This window comes from Homo sapiens, chromosome 5 (genome assembly GCF_000001405.40).
Source record: "Homo sapiens chromosome 5, GRCh38.p14 Primary Assembly".
Lineage (NCBI taxonomy): Eukaryota > Metazoa > Chordata > Mammalia > Primates > Hominidae > Homo > Homo sapiens.
In genome coordinates, this window is record NC_000005.10 from 100721038 (window position 1) to 100748080 (window position 27043).

At 32.4% G+C, this 27043-nt stretch overlaps 1 pseudogene, besides 1 other annotated feature; it reads left to right on the top strand.

Moving 5' to 3' along the window:
* Positions 1438-2081: an enhancer, noted in NCBI's record as "OCT4-NANOG hESC enhancer chr5:100058179-100058822 (GRCh37/hg19 assembly coordinates)". NCBI's record gives its function as "activates a minimal SCP1, AML or CMV promoter by ChIP-STARR-seq in primed H9 embryonic stem cells {active_cell/tissue: H9 hESC(primed)}" and the evidence as "EXISTENCE:reporter gene assay evidence [ECO:0000049][PMID:30033119]".
* On the top strand, positions 12021-12349 carry RN7SKP62 (RN7SK pseudogene 62; annotated as a pseudogene).

Sequence of the window (27043 nt, forward strand, 5' to 3'; positions counted from 1 at the left end):
ATAGTTGGGTTACAACAATGCATTATATTAGATAAATAAATAAAAATATAAGAATAATTATGTGGAATGGTGAACTGATTGAAGAATAGTTCCTGGCTTTGGAATCTAAAAACATCAATCTCATAGAAATAGAGAGTAAAAAGGTGGTAGAATGGTTTACCAGAGGTTGGAGTGGTTAGTGGGGGATAAGGAGTTGGGGAATGTTAGTCAAAGATACATATATATAGTTAGATATGAGGAATAAGTTCAAGGTCTACTGTATAGCATGGTAACCAGTGTTAATGATGATATATTGTATTTTTTAAAATGCTAAGAAAGTGAATGCTAAATGTTCTCACCACAGAACTGATAACTATTTGAGGTAATTAATTTGTTAATTAGATTTCACCATTCCATAATGTATATATACTTCAAAACATCATATTGTACATAATAAATACATATACATTTATACATCAATTTTTTAAAAAAATGATAAATTTCAAAAAAAAAGTCCCTGGTTGAAATATTAATGAATGTGGTGAATTAATATTTAGCTATTGTTTTAAATAACATAGCCCTATCTTATTGTTTAGAAAAAAATATAATAGTTGTATTGGCTGCATACTGTTTTTCATTAACAAACACCCGTGCCAAAATGTCAACGATTTATAGGCTTATATCTCCATTTTGTATATGAGATAAATAGGTCAAGTATTCGAATACCATATAGAATCAAGGTCTTTAGGTTCTTAATTCAACACACCTCTAACTGCAACACAAAGAAAACATTTGTTTGACATTGGTAAATCAAATAGAAATATCCTCACAGAAACACTGAATCTAACCCATTCCATGTCTATCATCTTATCTTCAAGCTATATAGCTGAGGGCAGGGTCAGAAGCTGCCATGCTGTGTTACATGACAGGAATAAATAATGCAGAAAACTTGTTCATTTATTTAACCTTCAACTATTTATAGAAAGCAAATTACAACATGACAGGCACTATTTTGGAATGAAATTTCAGTGCATTGGTAAAGAAGTCTGACTCTGTTTTTAAGATGAGCTTCTTCTTTCATATTTCTCTATTATTACTGTATCAACTGAAAAAGGGTCTATTTTGTTATTCAATTATTCCTGGTATGTGAGCCTAATTCAAAGATTTAGTTAACTAGGAAATCAAAGGGACCATAGAAGGCCTTGAATAATACATGAGTGAGTTTTAGAGTGAAATAAAACTATAAAGGTAGTGTAACATCTTGTCTGAGTTACAGTGATATCAGAGAACACACACAGACACAGACACACACACACAAACATTTTTTGCCTGGGTTTCTTCCCAGGTGAACATACTGTTAAGTCTCTCATATGAAAGACGTAGTTTACCCTAGCTTTTGAAGATTTGAGGCTGCTTTTTGAAGTTGAGGTAGGCACAATCTTTCTGCTTAAAAATTAGAATAGGAGCAAAGTATGGATAAGTATAGCAAGATGTTAAACCAAAATGTCATTTTTCATCTACAAACAGAGAACTTGCTACAACCTTAGCACTCAACCTTCCAAATGATGCCAATTATGTTCACCCACCCTGCTGTGTTCTTAAAAGGAGAAGCACTAGGGGGATCAAAATTAAAACACTTAATTATTTTGTGTTTTAAATGTGAACTCTCTCTAAAAAACAGCAGGTGGATCTTTATCACATCCACTTAAGTCCCTTTGGTCCCTGGACAGTTCCACTAATCATTTGAGTTTAAATACTTTTGAATTGCCTTCATTCACACTACAAATATCTTCACCTTCTCTTGGAAGGGGGCTGCATACTTGGTTACTATTCAACCACTTATCTATTGATGTTACTGCCTGAGAATTAAAGCTCCCTGGAGTTGGCTGATGAGCTTTCACAGAGAGTAAATGTGGCAACAATCCTGCAAATTAGGGCTAAGAGGAAATGGAGGCTAGAATCAGTTTCCAAAGGCATTTCTTAGAATTTGCAGAATTGCCATTATAGGAGGAATTATCTTCAGTAGAGTCAAATTTATACTTAACAACATGAAAAATCTTCTGAAATCTTGATTATCCCAATGTCATTAGCAGAGAATGCCAAGGCATGTAAATAGACTATGATAACTGTAGAGAATCTCCTGACTTAGAAAAACATCCAAATAATTCTGTAGATTTTTAATTTATTTATTTCAATTGTTTTGTATTCTTTTATCTTTTTTTGGTTAAAATCATACAACTTTTTTGTTTTCTGAGCATTTTGACATCTACTTTGTAAGTTCTTTTATACTTATAATAATGCCTTGAGTCAGGAAACAGTAATTATCTCAGTTTTGCAAATAAAGCAAAAGCATAAAAAGTCACCTTGGCCTTCAGATGAGGGCATGCAATTAATTAATGCAGAACTGAAACTAGAACATAGACAACAATTGTTATCCCAGCCCAAGACTTTTCTACTAAAGTGTGTGACTTGTACATTTATTCTATGGTCATCACAAAAATACATATGCAGTGCAAATACATAAAAGTGAATTCTAGTTGCTGAGGTTGGGGGAAGACTCTAATTAGATGATCTGGTAAGAGTTTTATAAGGAAGGAAATTTATTCTGATTAGAAAAAATATAGGTACAAATTGAGACATATTAACCAATTATCATAATTGCCAATAAAATACAGTATGTAGATGAAAGGAATCTAGGTTAGCTGGAAAAATGAGACAAAAGTGGAATGGTGGGGAAGCATGGGAGGCAACGTGCTTCTTCATAACATCAAACTTTCTTTTCCAAATAGTTTCTGACCTTTGTAATTTGTGGTAGTGAAGGGTCAGCAACAAAGCATCAAAGATCACAGCACAAAGGTAAAGTGATTCACCCTGCTTTTTAATCCTTAGCACCGAACTCTAAGATCTTCTAATTAAAGAACCAAGATAGGCATCTACTCGACCCTCACTTTGACATCTTCAAATTTAAAGCAATTCAACTCTCACTCCCACACTCAGGTTAATTTTCACTAGAAGAAATAATGTTGACAGTTTCAGAAAGTCAAGCTAAGCTTATGTAAGGAGAAAAAGAGTAAAATGTTCTTTTTTTACTGATGGATGTGTCCTCCAAGATATGATTTCCCAAGAGTTCTAGGACTTGCTTCCTTGTGCCAGAGCATACTGCACAGTGGGGGTTTCAGGGCACAAGGTTGAAGTCAGAAATGTATACCTAGCCCCCCTCCCAACCCTTATACCACTAATTGGCTCTATGACTTTGGGAAAAGTACTTAAACATCTCTGAGACATGGCTAATTCTTCAATAAAATTGAAATAATAGTAGTACTTAAAATTTAGATTGTTACTGGTAGTGGGCTAAATGATGTCCGTTAAAGAGAATACTCTTGTTTTAATCCCTAGAACCTGTGAATGATATCTTATTTAGGAAAAAGGGGTATTTGCATGTGAAGTTAATTTAAGGATTTTAAGATAAGAAAATTATCCTGGATTAACTGGGTGGGCCTTAAATCTAATATGAGTATCCCTACAAGAGACACACAGAAGAGAGTCATGCAGAAGAGGAGCAAATAATGTGACCATGGAGGCAGAGATTGACGTGATGTGGCCACAAGGGAGGCAACACCTGGAGCCACCATAACATAAAAGAGGTCAGGAATGGATTCTCTCTTCAAGCCTTCAGAGGGAGTATGGCCCTACTGACACCTTGGTATTGGACTCCTGGCTTCCAGAATTATGAAACAATAACTTCGTGTTTTAAGCCAAGTTTGTGGTAACTTAATATAGCAACCAGAGGAAAGTAATACATCATTCAATGAGATAATTGTGAAGAATATACTTAATACATGGTCTAGAACATAGATGTTATTGATAAATAGAATTTATTATTTATACAAAACCTGAGCAGTGTGAGACCTAGAACCAGTGCTAAAGGATATTTGTACTCAGAGAATGGGTTTCCATTTATCGATTAGTTTCTATGAGCCAATTATTCTACTGGGTGTTATGCATGCATTATATAGTTTCTCCTTCTAGTTATAACAAAAGTAAACACTGATTTCTCTTAACAGACATGGAGACTGCAACTCAAAATATAAAATCACTTACTCAAGACCTTATAATTAGTAAGATAATCAAGATTCAAACTCAGATCTGTCTGTAGGAAATGTATTTACTTTCTTTTTTTCATGCTGCCTCTACAAGGTACGGTGTACAGAAGTGGTCAGTGGGTTATAGGGGAAGGCTAAGCCGCAGCCAGCAGTTCTGTGTAATAGTTTATCAATTTTAAGGGTCTTGGCACAGTGAAAAAATCAAGAAATGAAGCAATGGAATAGATAAAAGTAAGAGAATTAGAATGATGTAATAAAAGAAAATTGGAAACATTTTCTAAACAAATGACAATATTGGTAATTGGAGGAATAATCAGTTATTAAAATAGCTTGGACACCACGGCAGGCAGAATTGTAAAGTGAGCCTCAAGATTCAGCTTCTTGTGGCATATGCCCATGCCCCGTATAATGACACTCTGGAGTATGGTGAAAACTGTGAATATGATACGATGTTACTCCTGTGATATATAGGGCAAAGATAAATAGATTTTGCAGATGAAATTCAGGTTGATTTTTAGTTCAATGAGATCAGCTGATTTTTGATTAAGCAAAAGAAAGATCATTCTTGGTGGGCCTAATTATTCAAATTAATGCCCTTAAATGAGCAACTGCGCCCTTCTTGAGATTGGAGTGATTCTCCTCCTGGTCTTGAAAGGGCCACATGGCACAGAATTGCAGGTGACTTCTGTGAGCTAAGAGTCACCCCAGCCAAAATCCAGCTAGAAAACAGCCACCTGAATCTTACAATGCTAAGGAAATACATTTTATCAACAACCTGAATAAACGTGGAAGCAAATTCTTCCCTAATGAAGCTTATTGATGTCAAAGCAGCCTGGTAGAGATCCTGAATGCAGCCTTGTGAAACCCTGAGCAGAGAACCCAGCTAAGCTGTGCCTGGACTCCTGAGGCACAGAAACAGTTATATAATAAGTGTGTGCTGTTTTAAGACACCAAATGTGGTAATTTGTAACACAGCAATAGAAAACAAATACAGACAAAACAAATACTCTCAAAATCAATTTTTTATTTAAATCTATAATTTCTATGAGAGAAATCAGCACTGTGCTACAAACTAGTCTACATCTTGCAGGGTTTACCAGTAGTTATGGACACTTACGTTTTTCTACTCTCTGCTTTATTCTCAGAAATATTCATACCCTGACTTCATACAGTCACCATACTTCCTTTCACCCACTGTATATGTCTTTAGCACCTTCGCCTACAAGCTGAGAAATCTGGAAGCCACCTTTACACATAGTTGCATGAGCACACACATATGTGTGTGCAGATAAACACATATGGGCACATGCATGTACACACACACAGAATTTAGCAATGCACACTACATAAACACAAACTATCATTCCTGTCTGATAGCACATAATATGCCTCTTTTTTTTAACCTTTATAAAAGCTATCTTATTCCTTATCTAATTCCTTTTTCTCTTTAGTACTTAAAATACACTTATGGCCCAATATACCTCTGTAGTTACATAGTAATGTACTTTTAACAATTTTATCACATCATAAACTAGCATAGTGACAGTACTTTAATGTTCAACTGCTGCATTATTAATAGAAGAGGTTTTGCCTTTCCAGAAACATCCTGAATTTGTTGTGTTCCATAGTCATTATAGCCCAATAAATATGATGTGGGTCAGATTGGAAATGCAAAGAATTTGGTGAACTCTGAATGTATTAGGTGCACTTTGAACCATTTACTGCCACAAACACAATGATGCTATTTCAAAAGAAGCATATTAGAGATTGAAAGCAACTCTTCTTAGTACTATAAATGGTTACCCTGTATTGCAGTAAAAATAACAGATTTATTGGCAAAACTTCTACCTTGTTAATTTTATATTTCAATTTTCCAAGCTCCGGTAGCTGAATATAGATTGATATAGCTTAAGCTTAGACTAATGATTAAAAGTTCAGCATGTAAATGCAATCCAGATAGTTTATTTATGACTCAGACATATTAATTTGTCAAGTTGGGTTCAAAATGCTTCTCTATCTGGATCAACTTAATATTTCCATATATCTTTATATAATAGGCTTAAATATTGCTGAATAAAGATGACAGCTTAATTTTGATTTGCAAAAATATTTTACACAAGTAATTTACAAAGTATGAAACAAAAATACATAAATAATATGAATAAAATAATGCAAATAAACTAATAGTACAAAAATCCTCTAATTAATACATAAAGGAGTATTTAGTCATCCTATCAACAAATATAAAATTCAAGTGAGAATATGTAAGCCATCATTTATTTACTATCAAGTTAGCACATATTTTAAGAATTATAATAATCAGTTTTAATATAGAAATGATGAAATAGGCAACCTGTCTAGCAAGTATGTATCAAAATATTTCAAGATCCTGGAAAATATGTAAACTTTTGACCCAGGTATTTCAATTTTTAACTGTAATAATAATTTCCAGAAGATGTTGCAGCAAAGTTATAAAATGATATAGACAAAGAATATATGGGCAAGGCAAATCTATGCCCAGTTTAGAAAAATAATCTCTTTGATTAAATAGGGCATAATTCAATATATACTACGTTATTCTTAACAAAGACAATCAGTGGACATATATAGCTATGTATATATTCAAATATGAACATGAGAATATTTTGCTTTATGATTTTATGGTTATTTCAATTCCACATTGTTATTTTTATTAACATTTGTCTTTATTTTGTGTAAGTAGAAATATAATGTATGTTAGCTGTAAAAAATATTGAAAATACAGCATCAGAGAGAAAATGTACCAAAGAAAAGATAAAACCTTCTGTTTTAATTTTAAGTTAACTTTGCACTATGAAATATATATATGTACATACATATATATACATGTATATATGTACGTACATGTATATACATATATATGCACATGAAAATGTATATAAATACATACATATATCTACATGTAATTGTATTTAATTTTAAGTTAACTTCGCACTATGAAATATATATGTATGTACATATATACATGTATATATGTACATACATATATAAATATAAGGATAATGTATTATATATAATATAAAATTATGTACATATATGTATATACATATATATGCACATGAAAATGTATATATGTACATACATATATGTACATGTAATTATATTTAATTTTAAGTTAACTTCACACTGAAATATATATGTATACACATATATACATGTATATGTGTATACATATATAAATATAAATATTATATATATAATATAAAATTATGTACATAATACATATACATGTATATATATATTTCATAGCGCAGTTAACTTAAAATTAAATATAATTATATATAATTGTATATACTTTTATATATAATTTTATATAAATATATAAATTATATATAAATTTTATATAAATATATTCTATATATTATATATTATATTATATATAATATTTATATATGTATATACATATATACATGTATGTATGTACATACATATATATTTCATAGTGTGAAGTTAACCTAAAATTAAATATAATTATACATAATTTTTTATTATATAATATTTATATTTATATATTATATATAATATATATTTATATGTTTATATATAATAATATATATTTATATGTTTATATATAATAATATATATTTATATATTATTTATAATATATTATATACAATTATATATATAATTTTAACAGTTTTATATAAATAATATAATATATAGAATTAAATATATATAATTTTTATGTAAAAAATTATATATATAATTTATATATTTTTTATATATAAAAATTATATATATATAATTTCCTACCCATTTGGAAATATTTTATTTGGAATTCTGACATTGGATTTGTTACATGAAAATGACTTTTGGATTTTTCTAAGTGGTATCTTATACAGTCTGTTTAGATAGATAACATTTTGAAATTTTCCTACATCTTGGTCTGCTTAGGTAGACATTTGACTGATACATGAATATAGACATTTTTATCTATGATTTTGTTACTGAGCTTTCTTCAAACTGTTTAAATAGTTTGGTGGTAGATTGAAAGTAGAATGAGACCTCATGTGCATGTTTGTCTCCAGAACCCTCGCCAGAGCATATTTAGGGGAAATAATATTTTTTAGGAATTTTAGCTTCTTCTATTGTTTATTCTATCTGTAAATTTGACTTATCTGAAAATAAATTGAGAATTTAATCCAAAACAGACTTTAATGGAGGTTTTCAGTGTGAGATTTGTCTTCCTCACTCCTTTTCTTCTTTTTCCTTCATTATCCCTGTTTCTCCTCTCTGCATTTCTCTCCCTCCCTCTTCCTTTTGCATGCATTCAACTACTTATAGTAAACATACACCACGCACCAAGTATTGTGATAGGAACAAGGGGTATAAATATGAGCAAGGCAGTTTTGATCTGTCCTGCCAAAGCTTAGAATGTTTGATTTTAAAACAAGCATTTACATTAAAGTGTGGTAAGTGATACAATAAAGAAAGAACAGAATGTTGAGGAAATACCTAGTAGTGTCTCTTAATACAGTTGAAAGTAAGGAATATTACTCAAGGAACAATGTCTACAAAAAGTGATATTACGGCTAAAAGTTAAAGAATCATTACAAGTTAGGCAGACAGTATTACTACTCTACAGGAATGGAGTCAGTTGCTTATCTAGGTTTTTACCCCATTATATTGTTGGCTCCTTTTTGCATGCTCAGTACCTACCAAAGTATCTGGCACACAGATGTTGTTGAATAAATGTTTGATTAATTAATGCAGAAATATAAAAATGAATACTATCTTGATAAAGCACTATTTGATATATTTGTTTGTAAGTGACACAATGAAGAAAACAACATGGATTTCCAGAAAAATTAATACATCATCTAAATTCCAACTGCTAATCTTAGGTTCTCCATTTTCTACTGTTTTGTTGTTTCTTCTCTTTTTTTAATTTTTAATATTTTATCCCTATTATTGGACCCAAATCAGCATACATTTGATTTTAAACTTGACTTAACATAATTTATTAAAACTTCAATACTTCTTCAAATTTGAATGACTTATTTTATGTATAATTATGTAAAACTACAAACTTGTAAAATCTTCTGAGTTAACACTGGCCATTTACTTTTGCCTATAGAGAAATTAGTCCAGTAAAAGTCAACAGCAGCATATAAAGAAATTGCCAAAATGCTTGAGTATTAAATAACTACCTTGGGTATTGCTTAAGAAAAACCTGCATTCTCAATTCAGCATGCATATGGAATATATGCAAATTTATCTTGTTTTCTGTAGAGACCATTTAACTAAAGAAGAATGAAAATAATTTAAAAACTTACTCAAAATTCATCTGGTAATATGAGCATATAATACATATGAAGTCATTAGACTAATAAATTCATAAGTAAAAAATAATAAGTAAGCTAGAAAACAACAATGCTAATTGATATAAAACACCAAGGCAACAGAGTATTTAAAATGTCATTCAAAGTTGTTGGAATGTGGTTAAGAAAATGAGCTTCAAGATCTAATTAAGAACTAAGCCCAACATGATCCCATAAGTATTTTTATGCTTGAGATGAATATTGGAAATTTGTTTATATTAGTTCAAATTGGTCTAGTATCTCATTTCCTTGTTATTGCATATTCTCAATTATCTGAGAGCTTAAATGTAGGAAAAGGAACGGTGAAACCCCGTCTCTAATGAAAATACAAAAAATTAGCCGGGCGTGGTGGGGGGCACCTGTAGTCCCAGCTACTTGGGAGGCTGAGGCAGGAGAATGGCATGAACCCGGGAGGCGGAGGTTGCAGTGAGCCGAGATCGCCCCACTGCACTCCAGCCTGGGCGACAGAGAGAGACTCTGTCTCAAAAAAAACAAAAAACAAAAAACAAAAAACAAAGGTGGAAAAAGGACATAATTTAATCAATACTTTCAAACATATCTTCCAAACCAAGTTAATTATGGAAAACTTCAGAGGCAAATATCTATGCTTTCTATCAAACTTTGAAAAGAAGGAATCTAGTTTGCTTCAAAAAACAGAACTGTATTTTGCTGAATAAACCAAGTTATTTTCAGGAAACAGAATATGTAACACTCACAAACACTGAAACACACACAAGAAGTGGCACGTCATATTTTAGAAAATTAAAATATGTACAAAATTAGTCTTTTGTAAAAATTAGCTCCTTGATAAAACTTGGAATTTTCAGGAAGGGTTTTTAGAATTTCAATATTTACTTGCTTTAATTCTTGTGCTCTTGTCATTTAAATAGGATAGTGAACTATAAAAGTTCAACTTAAGAACACAAATTAATACCTTACCAAAAAATAGTATATTAACTATTATCCTCATATAAATTAGATATCCTCGTTTAAATCAACTATCTTCACATTCTCATCTAATTTGTATTATTTGATAAAATTTATAGAACATGATAACCTAAATAAAAATGCAAAGGGGAAAAAGATACATAGAGGTATATTATAATTTATGAAAAAGTCGATAACACTTTTTTAACCTAAAATATACTCAAGTTGAATTATCCTTGCCACTCTGTGGCAGAATATATAGTGTAGAAGAAACAGTGCAGAAAAAGGAGATCATGAAAACAGATGTTGGAAGGGTAAATTGGAATAATCTTCCAGATCATTCACTATCAAATATATTTTCAGAGCTTCTCTCTAAAGGAAATAGACATGGGATCATATTCTCCAAGTACATGAATGTATCCATTATAGGAACACGGACTCCTAGCACAGCCACCCTAGAATGGAGAGTCAAGTAGTCCCGTGGTTTAGAATTTGTGCACTGATGGGAGAAGACAGGGACAGGAAGAAGAAAGAGCAGCCTTTCTAACTGATCTGGCTGCTATGTGGTCCAACCGTGTTTAAACAGAAAGTGCAAGGTAAACAAGATTTTTGTGGTTTCACTTTGATGGAGGAGTACCTCTCTTCTATTTCTGCTAAAATTCTCAATCTCTGTCGAGTAGAAAATCACCGGTTTCTGTGGAAGTAGTTAAAAATGCACGAAGGTGCTGAACACACAAACAAGCAAAAATAACAGAATATCACAATACTCTTAAATACAAAATAACTGTATTTCTACACACTATCAATAGAAGTTGAAATGTTAAAAATACCATTTAAAGTAACATGAAAATTATGAAATATGTAAAATACATATTTTTAAAGATGTAAGATGACTACATGTTGAAAACCATCAAAAATAGCTGAGAAAAAATGTTAAAGACCTGCATAAATGGAGAAGTACATTATGTTCACAGGTTGAAGATTCAGTATTGTTAAGCTATCAGTTGCTCTCAAATAGAACCATAGATTCAATACACAATCCCAAGTGAAAAAAGCAGCAGTTTTCTAGTATAAATTTATAAGATTGTCCTAAAATTTATACAAAAATTCAAAGAACCTACAATTACCAAAAGAGAGTTTGAAAAAGAGGAGTTAAATTGGAAGATGAACACTGACTGATTTTAGGAATTATTATAAAAGTACAATAAACAAGACAGTTTGGCATTGAGATAATGAATAAAAACTTGACTATTGGAACAAAATACAAAATCCAGAAAAAGAACCAAGAAATTGACAACTTCTTTTCAACAAAATTACAAAGACAATTTAGTGAAAAAAAGATAGTCTTTCAGTAAATGTTACTGAAACCATTGGAAATCCTTAAGTTAAAATAACCTGACTTAAATCCATAACTCATACCATATACAAACATTAACTCAAAGTGTGTTATAAACTTGAAGATAAAACTTACAATTGTAAGACTTCTAGAAGAAAACATAGGACATTTTTAGGACCCAGGGATAGGCAAATATTTCTTAGATATGATGCCAAAAGCATTATCTACAAAATAAAATATTGATAAATGTAGTTTCTTTAAAATTAAAAAACGTTCCTTTACTAACACCATTAAGAGAATGTATTAATAAAGGCAGGATGTGAAGGCGATCTGGCTGTGACATCTGTCACCCCATTGATCATCAGGGTTGATTTGGCTGACGTAGCTGGCTAGGTGTGTGTCCCCTTCCTCCCTCACTGCTCCATGTGCGTTCTTCCTGAAGCTGCATGCTTGGCAGAAGAGGACAACCATCCTTGATAGAGGAAGATGCGTCTTCTGTCAAGGGTATACGAGTAGCTGTGCTCCCCTGCTAGAATCTCCAAACAAGCTCTCAAGGTCTATTTGTAGGAGGACGTGGGTAATAAGGCTTCCAAGACTCCAGACACATCCCAATGAGGCACTGGATGAGGCAGCAGTCTACCTTTGTGTGTGTGTATACACACACACACACACACACACACACACACACACACACACACGAAAGGCATTGAGAAAAATACTTTTAATAATATATATGAAAAGGATGAAAAGGGATTTATATCCAGAATAAAGAGCTTTCAAAACTGAATAATATTACACAACTAAGTGAGCAAAATATTTTAATAGATTTTGCATCAAAGAAGATATGTGGATGGAAAATAAGCACAAGAATAAATGTTGAATATCATTGGTTACACAAATTAAAACAACAGTGATGTATAACTGTGCACCTGTAAGAATTGCTAAATTTAGAAAGAAGAGACATGATGAGTGTTGACAGTGATGCAGAGGATCTAGAACTTTTACATACCACTGGTGCAATGTAAAGTACTACCTAACTTTGGAAAGAATTTGGCACTTCCTTAAAAAGTTAAACATAAACCTTATATAGGATCCAGCCATTATGCTCTTTAGTATTTACCCAAGGGAATGACAGCACATGTCCCAAACTGCTATGAACATACATGAATGTTCATAGCAGAATGTTCATACATGTAATAGCCTTAAATTAGAAACAATTTTAATAGTCATGAACAAGATACACTTTCATAGAAAAAATTAATAATTACCACTTTTAAAATGGGCTATATCTTTTGCATGTTTCACCACTTAAAACAATAAATCCCTTGGGTTTAATGTATGGATGCCACTTCAAATCTGTAATTCCAAGTATATTGGTCTTTCCATTTGATCATGACGCTACCTCAGTACAATAAACTTGAAGTTAAGAAATTAGTGATATTAGTTATTCCAGAGAATTAAGAAAAAAATATATATCTGAAGCCTAAAAATAGGTAAATGCAAATTCTTTTTGTCAAATACAACAAAGAGAAATACTGAAGCTTGAGCTTGAACTAATTTCCTGATCAATATCAGTAAATCTCAAATCATCAGGAAAAAGTTTAAGTTTTTGAAGAAGTCTCCATTTAATTAATCACTCATTAATTTATTCAACATATATTTATTGAGGCTCTATATGTGTCAAATACTAAGTAAGTACTGAGGACACAGCAGTGAATCAAACTGATAAATATACCTCCTCTGTGATGCCACCTGGTCAGGGAAAGTGATGGTAAATAGACAAGGAGGGTATGGAGTATATAAGATGGTGCAGTGGAGAAATATAAAGCAGGGAAAGGTAAAAAGGAATGTTGTGTAGCCAGAGGAGTCTTCACCTGTGCAGAGAAGCTATGAGTAAAAATATAAAGCCCAACTTCAGAAGCAGGTGGAGCCAATGTGCAGAGGGAGACAGACAAGAGGAGACCCACCTCCCAAACAACACAGAGTAACAAATTGCTCACTTTCTAGGACATGGAAGGTCAGGTTTTATTTCCTCAGTTGAATTTACTGAAATATCTCAGGGTCCTAAAATAAGCCCCCATTTTAACTAAAGCCAAATTTTGTAAACAGGGAGCTTAGTGAAAGGGTGAGATTCTCCTCCATGTATCACTTGCTAAAACACTCTTCTTCGTGTTCCTTAAGAACCTTATATATTCCCCTGTTAGTCTTATCACAGGGCACAATAATACCCCGTGTATGAATTGACATCCTCCATTAGACTGCATTTAGCAATTTGCATCCCTCAGAGACCTTTTTTATACCACAGTAATTTCTAAAGAATTGCTAGTGGCCCTGAGGTCTTATTTCAAATTCCACTAACAATGGTGAAGTTTCACAGTCAAATGGAAAGAATATCATACATGGAATCAGATAAATCAAATTTGTGTCCCATACTGCCATTGACTAGCTTTCTCAGTCTTGCTTAACTTCTCTGAGCCATACTATCTTTATCTGTAAAAAGGGGTAATGCGAAAGCCTATTTCACTGATGTTCACTTTCTTTGAGGATTAAATGGAAAAATGTATACTGCCACCTCTAGAGAGGTAATTTAACTGATCTGATCCAGGACCTGAGCTTCAGAACTTGAAAAATACAGTGATCTCTGAGTGAGTCAAATTACAGCTGGAATAGAGAACCTCTGGCTAATTTAATTTGATAACACAGAAAACCACCTAATTTATTCATTATACTTTATATTCTATGTTAAATAGCTTAGTCTTTCTATTGCTTACACAAGGTTTAAAGTGAGAAGAAATCAATGACCTGTTTTCCTTTATTACTCTCTATAGGTTAAGGCTATTAATTTAAAAGTGAATAGAAAATTAGAAAGATGATGACTTTGATTTCATTCCTTTTTCATTATACTCTTCTATTTTTTGTAATTGTCCTATAGTGATTATCCACTAGTATACTTTTCATAACTTATAAAGGCTTTGTTACTGTTATTAATTCTTTCCTTATTTTGTATGTATTGTATGATAAACATTTTAATTCTATAATCCACTTGCTTTTATCTTCTGTCATACCTCTGAAAACTAAATCATGGCCAGACAATATTTTATAATTCTTAATTTAAGGAATATTTTCCCTCAGCTTAGTTGTTATAAATTATTTTAAAGGTATTTCTAAAAGTCCACATCTAGTACTATTATTACCTTTTTCTCAACCCTCATTTTTTCATTCTTTAATTCTCTTCTGTGTTAAATGGCTGTTATGCCCCATGTTCTATATGGTTTCATATTCTGTGCTATTATTATTTCTTAGAATAATATTTTCTTTCTCTTTTTCTTTTTTTTGCCTAAGTGAATATTGCACTTCCTTTGGTCTGTACCCCAAACAAAATAGCAAAGAAAGCAGAAATCAAGCCAAGCTTAGAATCATGAAATCTTTCTTTGCAAATCTCAGTCCAAAAAAAATTTTTTAATCCCAAAACATAATTAACACTCTATGCTGAACTATATAGTCTCAGTTTATATTATATACAGTCATATTTCCACCTGTTAATCTTAAGGAAGAGGAATATAATTATTTTACATTCTGAGAGTTACCCAGTTTAACTGGGTGGGAAATGCACCCATCAGTTACTGATTGACTCAATGACCATTTGGCTACTCTGCAGCTAGGTATTTAGCTATACAACATATATTGCAAGATGTCATATCCCTTGCAAACTAAATACATCTGAAGAATTTCCTCTGTAAGCTTTATACTGTGATACATTATAAATTTAGCATTTTCAGGAAATAAAGTTTGTCCACAACTGGAACTCATCTATGCTGAATATATTATTTCAATTACTTTTGATGAAAATTTATCTAAAACCGTTCTAGATTTCTTTATTAAATGATATTATTTCTTTAAAAGAGAACTTACTAAACTTTCAATGAAGTTTAACAAATTACAGAAAAGTTCAGCTCAATACATTTTCACATCAACACATCCAATGAATTCACCATCCAGATCAAGAAACAGTCTTACAAGGAACCTAGAAACCTCATGAGTAACCCAATACAGGGTAACTATTCACCTGAAGTCAAATATAGCAGATTCATTATACCTAGTTTTCACTCGTCTGTAAAAGGAACCATAAAATATGTACGATTTTATGTTTTTTCATTTAACATAATATTTATGTGTTCTGTTCACATTACATGCATTTATATTTTTTGTAGTTGCCATTGTATGCAAACACTAAAACTTATTTACCCATTTTACAGACAATGGGCATTTTGATTGTTTCCATCCAGTTTGGGACTACTATGAATAGTGCTCTTATGAACACTTTTTTTTTTTTTTTTTTTTTTTTTTTTTTGAGACGCAGTCTTGCTCTGTTGCCCAGGCTGGAGTGCAGTGGCGCGATCTTGGCTCACTGCAAGCTCTGCCTCCAGGGTTCACACCATTCTCCTGTCTCAGCCTCCCAAGTAGCTGGGACTACAGGCGCCTGCCACCAGGCCCGGCTAATTTTTTTTTTTTTTTGTATTTTTATTAGAGACGGGGTTTCACCGTGTTAGCGAAGATGGTCTCGATCTCCTGACCTCGTGATCCGCCCACCTCGGCCTCCGAAGTGCTGGAATTACAGGCGTGAGCCACCTCTCCCGGCCGAACATTCTTACATACAATGTAAGTTGTTTAATCTTTTGTGACTGTCTTCTTTCACTTGGCACTATGTTTACAAATTTTATGCATGTTGTTGTATGTATCAGCATTTTATTATTTTTATTGTCAAAAACTTCTATTGTATGGTTATTTTATTTACTCATGCATTAATGGATATTTGGGTTGCTTACATTTTATGACTATTATTAATAATGATGCTATGAAAAATTGTGTACTAGTTTTTGTAGGAATGTATGTTTCTACTTGTCTATATTCTTAGTAGTAAAAATACTGCTCTATATGGTAATTCTAGGTTTAAAATTTGAAGACTGCAAAACTGATTTCCAAAATGGCTCCACCATTTTACATTCCCAATAGAAATGTATTGGGTTTCTGATGTCTTCATATTTCTTGCTAATACTTGTCATTACCTCTCTTTTTGATTATAGCTATTCCAGCAAGTGTGAAGTAGTATCTTGTAATTTTTATTTCCATTTCCCTAGTGGCTAATTATGTTAAAAATGTTATTTATGTTATTGGCCATTTGTGCACCTTTTTTGAATAATGCCTATTCAGATTCTTTTGCCAATTTTTAATAAGCTTATTTTGTTTTCATTATTATTTTTGAGTGGTAAAATTCCTTTAAATATTTTGGATAACAGATCTTTATCAGATATGTGACTTACAAATATTTTTCCCCATTCTGTGTGTTAAGTTTTCACTTTTCTTTTGAAGAAAAAAAAGTTTTTAATTTTGATGAAGTCCAATGGAACTATTTTTTTCATTGCTATACTATTGGTATTATAACTAAGAAGGCTTTAATCCAAATCAAGAAGATTAACTTCTATGTGTTTTTCCTGAGAATTTAATAGTTTTAGCAATTACACTTAGTCTATGATCCATTTGGGATTAATATTTGTTTATATTGTGAGGAAGAGATCTAGTTTTATTCTTTTGCATTTGGTATCCAGTTGTATCAGCAATAATTTGTGAAAAGTCTGTTATTTTTCTATGAATTGCCTTGGCACTCTTATCAAAAGTCAATTGACCATAAGTTTGAGGATTTGTTTCTGGGCTGTACAAGTTCTATTTCATTGATCTATGTGTCTGTCTGTATGTGGTATGCAAGTACAACACCATTTTAATTTAACTTTTGAAATGGGGAAGTGTGGGCTCTGCAAATTTCTTTTCAAAAATGTTCTAGCTATTCTGAGTTTCCTGCATTTTCATACAAATTTTAGGATTAGCTTGTCAATTTCTGCAACAAAAAACCATTGAGATCATGAAGAAAAAATGGTGCTGAATCTTTTGATCAATTTGAAGAGTGCTGCTGTCTTACTGTTGATAATATTAAGTCTTCTGATTTGTGGGCATAGAATGTATTTCCATTTACTTAAGACTTCTTTAATTTTTTTCAACAACCCTTTAATGCTTTTACAATTTTGGGTTTATATTTGTTTTCTTATATTTATTCCTAAGTATTTTATTCTTTTTGATTCTATTAGTATAAATACGTTTTTTAAACTTTTATTTTTTATTTTTTTCTTGCTGGTATGTATATATAAATATAATTGATTTTATACATTGTTCTTGTCTTCTGCAATCTCTATGAACTCATTTATTAGTTCTACTAGATTATTAGAGTATTATATAGGATAGACTACATACAAGATTATTTATAAGACCATGTCATCTGCAAATAAAGATAAATTTATTATTTATTTTCCAATCTGATTTTCATTTTTAAAAATTGTCTTTATATTGCCTAACTGCCCTGGCTAGAACCTTCAGCACAATGAAGAGAACAAGTGGTAAGAGCGGACATCTTTATCTTGTTCCTAATTATAGGGGGAAATATGCAATAATTATAATATTTCTCATGGAATTTTCATAGACTCCTTTTATTTGCTTGAGGAATTGCCCTTTTATTTTCAAGTATTTGAGATTTCTTATTATGAAAGAGTGTTGGATTTTAGTCAAAGGATTTTTCTGTTGCAATTGAGATAATCATGTGGTTTTTGTTCTTTATTAAATTGCTACGATTTATTACATTAATTTATTTTTCAGATGCTAAACAAATCTTATTTTCTTTCTATAATCCCAAGAGGTCATGGTACATAATACTTCATGTAGGTATTATTTTTGGAGCATTTTGAGGTTTACAGAATAAAAATTATGTAAAGATAAGAAGGATTCTCTATACTCCCTCTCTTCTACCCTCAGTGCTTCTTATTACTAACATCTTGCATTTTTGTGCTATATTTGCTATAACTGAGTAACTAATATTGATAGATTATTATTAACTATAGTTCATGGTTTACATTAAGTTTCACTCTTTGTGTTATATGTTTCTACTGGTTTTGCCAAAAGTATGATATTTTGAATTTACTATTTCAGTGAATATTACACATGATAGTTTCTCTGCCCCCCAAATCCCTCATGTACCACATATTCATCCCTCCCTACCTCTCTCTAAACTCTTGGTAATCGCTAATTTTTTTAAACTGTTCCCATAGTTTTGTATAGGATGTCATACAGTTAAACGCATACAGTACGTAGACCTTTCAGACTGGCTTCTTCCACTTAGCAATATGTATTTAAGGTTCTTCTATGTCTCTTTTTAGCTTGATAGCTGCTTTCTCTTTACTGCTGAAGAATTCTTCCATTGTATGTGTGCACCACAGTTTGCATTCACATTGGTTGCTTCCAATTCAGAATAATTATGAATGAAGCTGCTATAAACAATAGCAAGCAACTTTTTTGTGTGGACATGTGTTGTCAACTCATTTGCATAAATACCAAAGAAAGCAGCTGCTAGTAAAAGTGATGTAACATATTTAGCTTTGTAAGAAACCCAGGCTGTCTTCCAAGAACCTGTGCCATTTTGCTTTTCCATCAGCTGTGAATGAGAGTTCCTGTTGCTCCACATTGTCTCCACGACTTGGTGATGTCAGTGCTTTGGATTTTTACCATTCTAATTAGCATGTAGTAGTATCTTATTGTTGTTTCAAGTTGCAATTCTGAATGACATATGATGTTGAATATCTTTTATATGTTTATATAGCATCCATATATTTTCCTTGGTGAAATATGTATTCAGATCTTTTGCCCACTTTTTTATTTGGGTTGTTTACTTATGTTTGTATTTCAAGAGTTCTTTTTATATTTTGGATATACTTTTTTTAAAAATATGTGTTTTTCAAATTTCTTCTCCTAATCTGTGCTTTGTCTTTCTGTTATCTTAATACTGTCTTTTGCAGAGGAGGGGTTTTTGTTTTAATTTTAATAAAATCTAACTTACCATTTTTAACATCAATGATTGTGCTTTTGATGTTGTATCTAAAAAGTCATTGCCAAATCCGTGACTCCAAGACCACCTAGATTTTCTCCTATATTATCTTCAATAAGTTTTATAGTTTTACATTTTATCCTTAGGTCCGGGATCCATTTTGAGTAAATTTTTGTGAAAGGTGTAAGTTCTGTGCCTACATTCATCTGTTTGCATGTCAATATCCAGTTGATCTAGCACCATATGTTGAAAAGACTATCGGTCTCCATTAGACTATTTTTGCTTCCTTTTTATATATAAATTTAATATATTCATTTGGGTACATTTCTGGGCTCCTTATTTTGTTCCATTGATCAATTTGTCTCTTCCTTTACCAATACTACACTCCCTTGATTATTGTAGCTCTATAGTAAGACTTGAAGTTTGGTAGTGCTAGTCCTTTGATTTTGCTTTTCTCTTTCCTTAATATTATCTTGGTTCCTCTGAGTCTTTTGTCCTTATATATGAAATTTAGAATCAAATTGTCACTTTCCACTAAGTAACTTGCTGGAATTTTAATGGAGATAGCATTCAATCTTTATATGAAGTTCGGGAGAACTTATATATTGACAATATTGAGTCTTCCTATCCAAGGACCTAGAATATCATTTCATTTATTTAGATCATCTTTGATTTCTTTCCTGTTTCTTTGAGAGGGAGTCTCGCTGTCACCCAGGCTGGAGTGCAGTGGTGCAATCTCGGCTCACTGCAGGCTCCGCCCCCCTGGGTTCATGCCATTCTCCTGCCTCAGCCTCCCGAGTAGCTGGGACTACAGGCACCCGCCACCACGTCCGGCTAATTTTTTGTATTTTTAGTAGAGACAGGGTTTCACTGTGTTAGCCAGGATGGTCTCGATCTCCTGACCTCATGATCCACCTGCTTAGGCCTCCCAAAGTGCTGGGATTACAGGCGTGAGCCACCACGCCTGGCCTTGATTTCTTTCATCTAGGTTTTGTAGCTCTTCTCATATAGATCTTGTATATACTTTTTAGGATTTATACCTTAGTATTTCAATTTCTTATGCTGATATAAATGATGTGGTTTTAATTTCAAATTCCAATTGTTCGTTGGTAGTACATAGGAAAGTGTTCAACTTTTGTATATTAATCTTGTATTCTGCTACACGAGTATAAAAACTAAAATTTTAAAAAATGCATTTAAATCCTCGTCTAAAAATGTGTAAGGAACAGTCACTATCCTCTGAAACTCACAAATACAAGGGAAATAAAACAAGACATTAATTAAAATTCAAAGTGTTTGAGATGTGAAAAAATGTATTGAGAGCACTGAAGAAGAAATAATTCTTACTACAGGTTGATGAGGAAGAACTTTCAGAAGAGAAAATTTTGAACAGGGCGTTAATTTTTAAAAAGAAAAAAAGAATAAAATCATGTCCTTTGCAGCAACATGGATGGAGCTGGAGGCCATAATACTAAGTGAATTAATGCAGGAACAGAAAACTGAATACCACATGTTCCAACTTATAAGTGAGAGCTAAACATTCCGCATTCATGGATATAAACATAAGAACAATAGACACTGCAGACTACTGGGGGAAAAGGAGGGAGGGGGGTCATGAGTTGAAACACTACCTATTGGGTACTGTGCTCACTACCTGGGTCCAATATACCCATGTAACAACCCTACATATGTACCTCCTGTATCTAAAATAAAAATGGAATTTTTTTTAAAAAGTAACTTCCCACCAACCTCATTAATAAATATGACTACAAAAGCCTAAATAAAACAGCAAATTAAAAAAACAGAGAAACTAGCAAAAAGGCACTTCAGATAAAATAAACTAATATAATATTTTAAAAAAATAGCAAATAAAAACCAAAAACTAGCAAAAAGGCACTTCAGATAAAATAAACTAATATAATATTTAACAAAAAATATAGTTTGCTATGTACAGCTGTGTAAATTAGGCAGATTAGAAAAGATGAACAGTCTAGATTGTCACAGATCACACAAAGCTTAGCATACAATTTTGACAAGCCAATTATTCTATTATTTCAAAATAGCTGCACTATCCATCTTTATACTTTAGATATTAGACTTCACAAACATGGTTTCAGCATCTGCTTCTGGTGAGGGCCTCAGGAAGCTTACAATCATGGTGGAAGGCAAAGTGGGGGTAGGCACGTCACATGGCCAGCGTGGGAGCAAGAGAAAGAGGGAGGAGGTACCAATACTTTTAAACAACCAGATCTCTCGTGAACTTGCTCAACTTTTGGATACTGGCCACTTGACAGTTATTTTTCTCATTCTGTGTAGATTCAAGCTATTCTATGGAATTATCCAATAAATTCAAATTCAGAAAGATCTTTTGGTAGACATTAATAGCTGAAAGCTAAAGTTCCCAAATCACACTTTAAAAAATGCACTGATAAGAAGTCTCCCCTGCTCTTTTTATCTCTAAAAGTAGACACTAATCAAGTAGAAAGCGATCAAATAACAGAAAAATGCATCAATAAAAGAGACGAGAATCATAATCAAGGACTAGCGGATAATTTATGCTCTACCATCATATTTTAAAATCCAAAAAAACCTGCAAATGTTAAATTCTTTAATACTTTAATTCTAATGAATATCAGTAAGTTTAAGAATCAAGAGAGGGATACAGGATGAGAATGTACACAAACAGCCTATACCACAGTAGAAAATAACAATGGTTCACATTTATTAAATATTTCACATGTATTATCTCTACTAACTTATTTAGTTTTAACATGAATCCCTATCATTATTCACATTTTCCCATGTAGAAATGGAGGCTTAGAAAGTGAAAAGACTTGCCCAAAGTAGCTCAGCTATTAAATGACAGAGAAGAGATTCCATCTCAGGCCACCCAATATGAAAGCTTTGGAGATAGAGAAACTGACATGGAAATCCAGCACCCTTCCTTGCCGACTTCACAATGACCATTTTAGTGGTGAAGTAATTAAGAAAAGTAAAATGTGAGGCCAGGATTCCCATAATTTCAAACATTGTGTGTTTTTCACCTTGTCATATTATACTATAATAGTACAACTATTTCTATATTAAAAATGCATTCAAGAGAAGATTATAATGTTTTAATTTTGGTAATAGAAGGAAAACACATGCTATTTGGAGATTTGAAGTATATAAATTATCTGATGAGGATAAAGATTTCTTTTTCTTTCTTTCTTTCTTTTGTTTTGTTTTGAGACAGAGTTTTGCTCTTGTTGCCCAGGCTGGAGTGCAATGGTGTGATCTCAGCTCACTGCAAACTCTGCCTCCCGGGTTCAAGCGATTCTCCTACCTCAGCCTCCCCGAGCAGCTGGGATTACAGGCATGCACCACCACGCCTGGCTAATTTTGTTGTAGTTTTAGTAGAGACAAGATTTCTCCATGTTGGTCAGGCTGGTCTTAAACTCCCGACCTCAGGTGATCTGCCTTCCTCCGTCTCTCAAGGTGTGGGGATTACGGGTGTGAGCCACCTCGCCTGGCCAAGGCTAAAGGTTTCTACAGATGCTTGAAATTCTAAGGCGAACAGTGACACAAGGTATCAGTTCAGAACTCAACAAGAAATACAAAAGATAGCACACATTTGTGTATATCCCTCTGCTTATACCTTCATTTTTTAATATCAAATGAATATGACCAAATGTGTCAACTGAAACACACTGAGTAAAAATGATCCCAACAGTCCCTTCCTATAATAATAATAAAAAGTCTTAAAGTGAACAACATTTTAACTAAAATTGAAGAAAATGACAATGTTGAGAAGAACTTCAAAGAGCATAACATCAGCTACCCTATGTGAAATCCAAAGATCAGACTTCATCTTCACATTTTTAGGTTATACTGTTTTGAAATGACCTCAAATCTCCAGAGATAATATTAAAGAAGTCTTACACTTTCAGTGTATGTGTGTGTTTTTTTAATTATTGTTTTTGTTTTAAATAGTATGCAACTGCCTAATTTCATTTCATCCTGAAAGCAATTTTGTGTGGTATAAGTGGTCAAGGCTAAAATATGGAAAAATATGGTTCACATGGGTTGTTACCAAACAAAATATCACACATATTTTAAGTGCTTCCAGTATGCTTTTAATACAGTGGTATGTTGACAAATATTTAACAACTGGTTCTCAGGTTAAAAAACAAAACAAAACAAAAAAAGCCCCTAATTTTTACGTATTGATTTCAGTGTTGTAAATACTCCTATATGGTAATGCCAAGCTGTTAAGGTGATGTCTTTAAACATGGAATTAGGAGGAGATGTTTCAATCTGCTCTGTGATCCAGTCTGATGGTATGAGATGGTTCTAAACATTGTAATGAACCTGGAGTAACCTAGGGGTAGGCAAACATTTTCTCCAAAGGGCCAGAATGTAAGTATTTTAAGCTTTGCTGGCCATACATTCTTGCAACAATTCAACTCTGACACTGTTGTAGTGCCAAAGAAATCATAGGTGATAGGCAAATGAGTGTTGGCTAGATGAGTGTTTATGAATAGAGAATTTTGAATTTCACATAATGTTCAAATGTCACAAAAATGTTCTTCTTTTGATTTTTTCCATTATTAAAAATTGTAAAAAGTATTCTTAAGTTTTGAGATATATACAAAATAATTTGCAGGCTCCTGATCTAAACTGTAGAAAATTGACTGAACTGGGGAAGACTTGATTGAGTTGCATTCCTAACTAATCCAAGAATCTTACATGACACACCAGTGTCTAATCCCTTATGTCATAGTGGACTCTTCTGAGGCTCATCAGTATCCACGGTTCTTTTGGCCTTCAACAGTTATAGGCTTCAAAGAAACTTGTTATTTCAGTTCCTTACTTCTTCTTGTCTGCCTCCATCAACATTTCTTAAGCTGTTGGCATAAAGTTCACAGCATTCATTGGCTTTAAAAATTTAGGAACCATAAAAATAGACTTTACATCCTAAATATAAACACAAAAACACATACATGAAGTAACTGAAACAAACATTTCACAGAAAAGATTGTACCCATACCACTTGCAATCCACTGTTATGTCTTCTATTCATTTTTCATTCTACTTTATGTTTAAAAATTGCTCATGGAGACTCATTAGTGGGTCAACATCTACAATTGGTAAAACCCCAATTTAATTAAAATGATTGATACCAACCTGTGAATATTCTATAAAATAGCTTCTCTCTCACCCTGGGCTATTTGCAGTTGCTAAAAGCAGCCATTAGCCAGATTAATCACAAGTTATAGAAATTATGTGAGATGTTTTTCTGAGCAGGGATTTCTGAGACTCCATGCTTACTCAAGGACTTGTGGGTCTCTTCTTTCTCCTGACAGTCACTTAAGATAGGCTCTCTACAAACAAATCAGCATCCTACATACTCATAATGACATTTTGTTGTTGTCAATACAATTCTGACGTGGAAAAATACTATTCTGATATGCAGAAGAACCTAGTACTATATTTCTAAATTTACATTTTTTTCTGTTCATTATTTAGTTTTCTGTGATTTTTCTGTTTCTACACTATTATGCAATAGAATCATCAAATAAAATTAAAGATGAGGCAGTGTATGGATTAATCAATCTACCAACATAATCATATCATTTTATATTTTATTGAAAGCATGTATTCCTTAATCCTTCTACAGGGATTGCTAATTATTCCCATAAAAGTAAACCAAATCAACATAAATCCAGTTTGAAAGTATCACTTCAAACCTTATATTGTGCCAAAATATTCTATGATTCTATCACAGTCTCTCATGCTCCTCCCCCACCCCTCTCTGTTATAAGTTATATGTTTCCCTAACTGCAGGTGTTATGGAAATGTAACTTCTGATTCAAGCTGAGAGAGGACTTGAGGAACTTGAGGAAATTGTTTATGATCTGATGGAAATTTTAAATTGTGTTGGAGAAAATGATTCTGACTTGGGACCAGGAAACCTGTGTTCAAATCACCCCTTAGCATGACAACTATGTGCCTTTCTGCAAATTTACAAAAATGTCCTTGTAGATCTAGTTTCCTTTTCTGTAAAATCCAAATAATACCACTCTACTTATCTCACAGATATTTATGAGACAGTGGATCACTAATACATGTAAATTTCTTTGCAAACTTAGAAGCATCCTGAAAAAGAATGGATGTCCTATATATGGAGAACCATTAAATTATTTTTGTCACTTTTAGTTTCATTTTGCTCTGAAAGTCACATTTACAACCCCTTCCTTCCCCAGTTATGTGACAGCAACACAGCCTGTGTACTTCCCTATATGGAGGCATGTAGGGTTGCTGCAGGCAATGTGTCCACGTGTCTGGATTTCTGAGTATATCATTTATTATTTTTGGTGGCTCCAATGCAGCAATAGCACAGGACTTTGACAGTTGATGGAGATAGAAATTTCAGCAATAATAGTAACTTTACTATATAGGCAAAATTTTTAACATTATCCTCACTTACTGCTAGAAGACGCTGAATAAATGCATTAGACACACATCAGCTCTTTTAATTACCATTTTAAAGCTTCACTAGTTCTTTTATCCTTTATGTTTAATAAGCTATTATAGTGGTTTCATATTATCTTCAAATTAAACTTTTCTTCCATTAAAAAATGAAACCTTTAAAAGTGATTGAAATATTTTGGTACATAGTTGGAAACTGTTTCAAAGTGAAGAATCTAGAGATAATTCTCTTTTGCTGTTCTTTCATATATGTATGCACATAATAAGCTGGAAGAAACTCCTTAGAAAAATCTGCATTATATAGGCAAAAACTTGAGACCTTCCATGGGGTGAAAATAAAGTCGTACACCTTCTTAGGAGATCTGAGTAAATGTTGTGGTTTAATAGCAGCTGAAATGTCTAGAAACACATGCAATAGTATGTCCTGAGTCTCTAGGTCTCCTGAAAACAAAATATAACTTCATTGCTTTGTTATTTTAATTTCTGTATCTCAGATGCATTGGCTGAATTAATTATGCTAATTCAGTTCAGGGCACTGATCCATGCAGTGATTAACGATGTATGCAAAGCCCTTTTTTTGTTTTTGTTTTTCCTTATTCTCTTATTCTATTCATCCCTGGTTATCCGATATTAATACTAATATGTTTAATGTATATTTTGCATGCGTATGTTTTAGCAAATGTGCATCATTTTGTGTATATGTATTTTAATGTACTTAAATAATATCATGTTATATATGATTGATCTATCATCCATCTTTCTGTAAATATCTATATGTTCTAAGAACATTCATGGTTTTTTGTGTACCTCTAATTCATTGTTTCAACACTGCAGAGTATTTCATGGTTTACATCTACTTTGTTCTTTCTACCCTTCTAGCAAAACATTTTTAGGTTGCCCCAAAATTTCTATTACTACAAATGCTGCTGAAATGAACATCTAT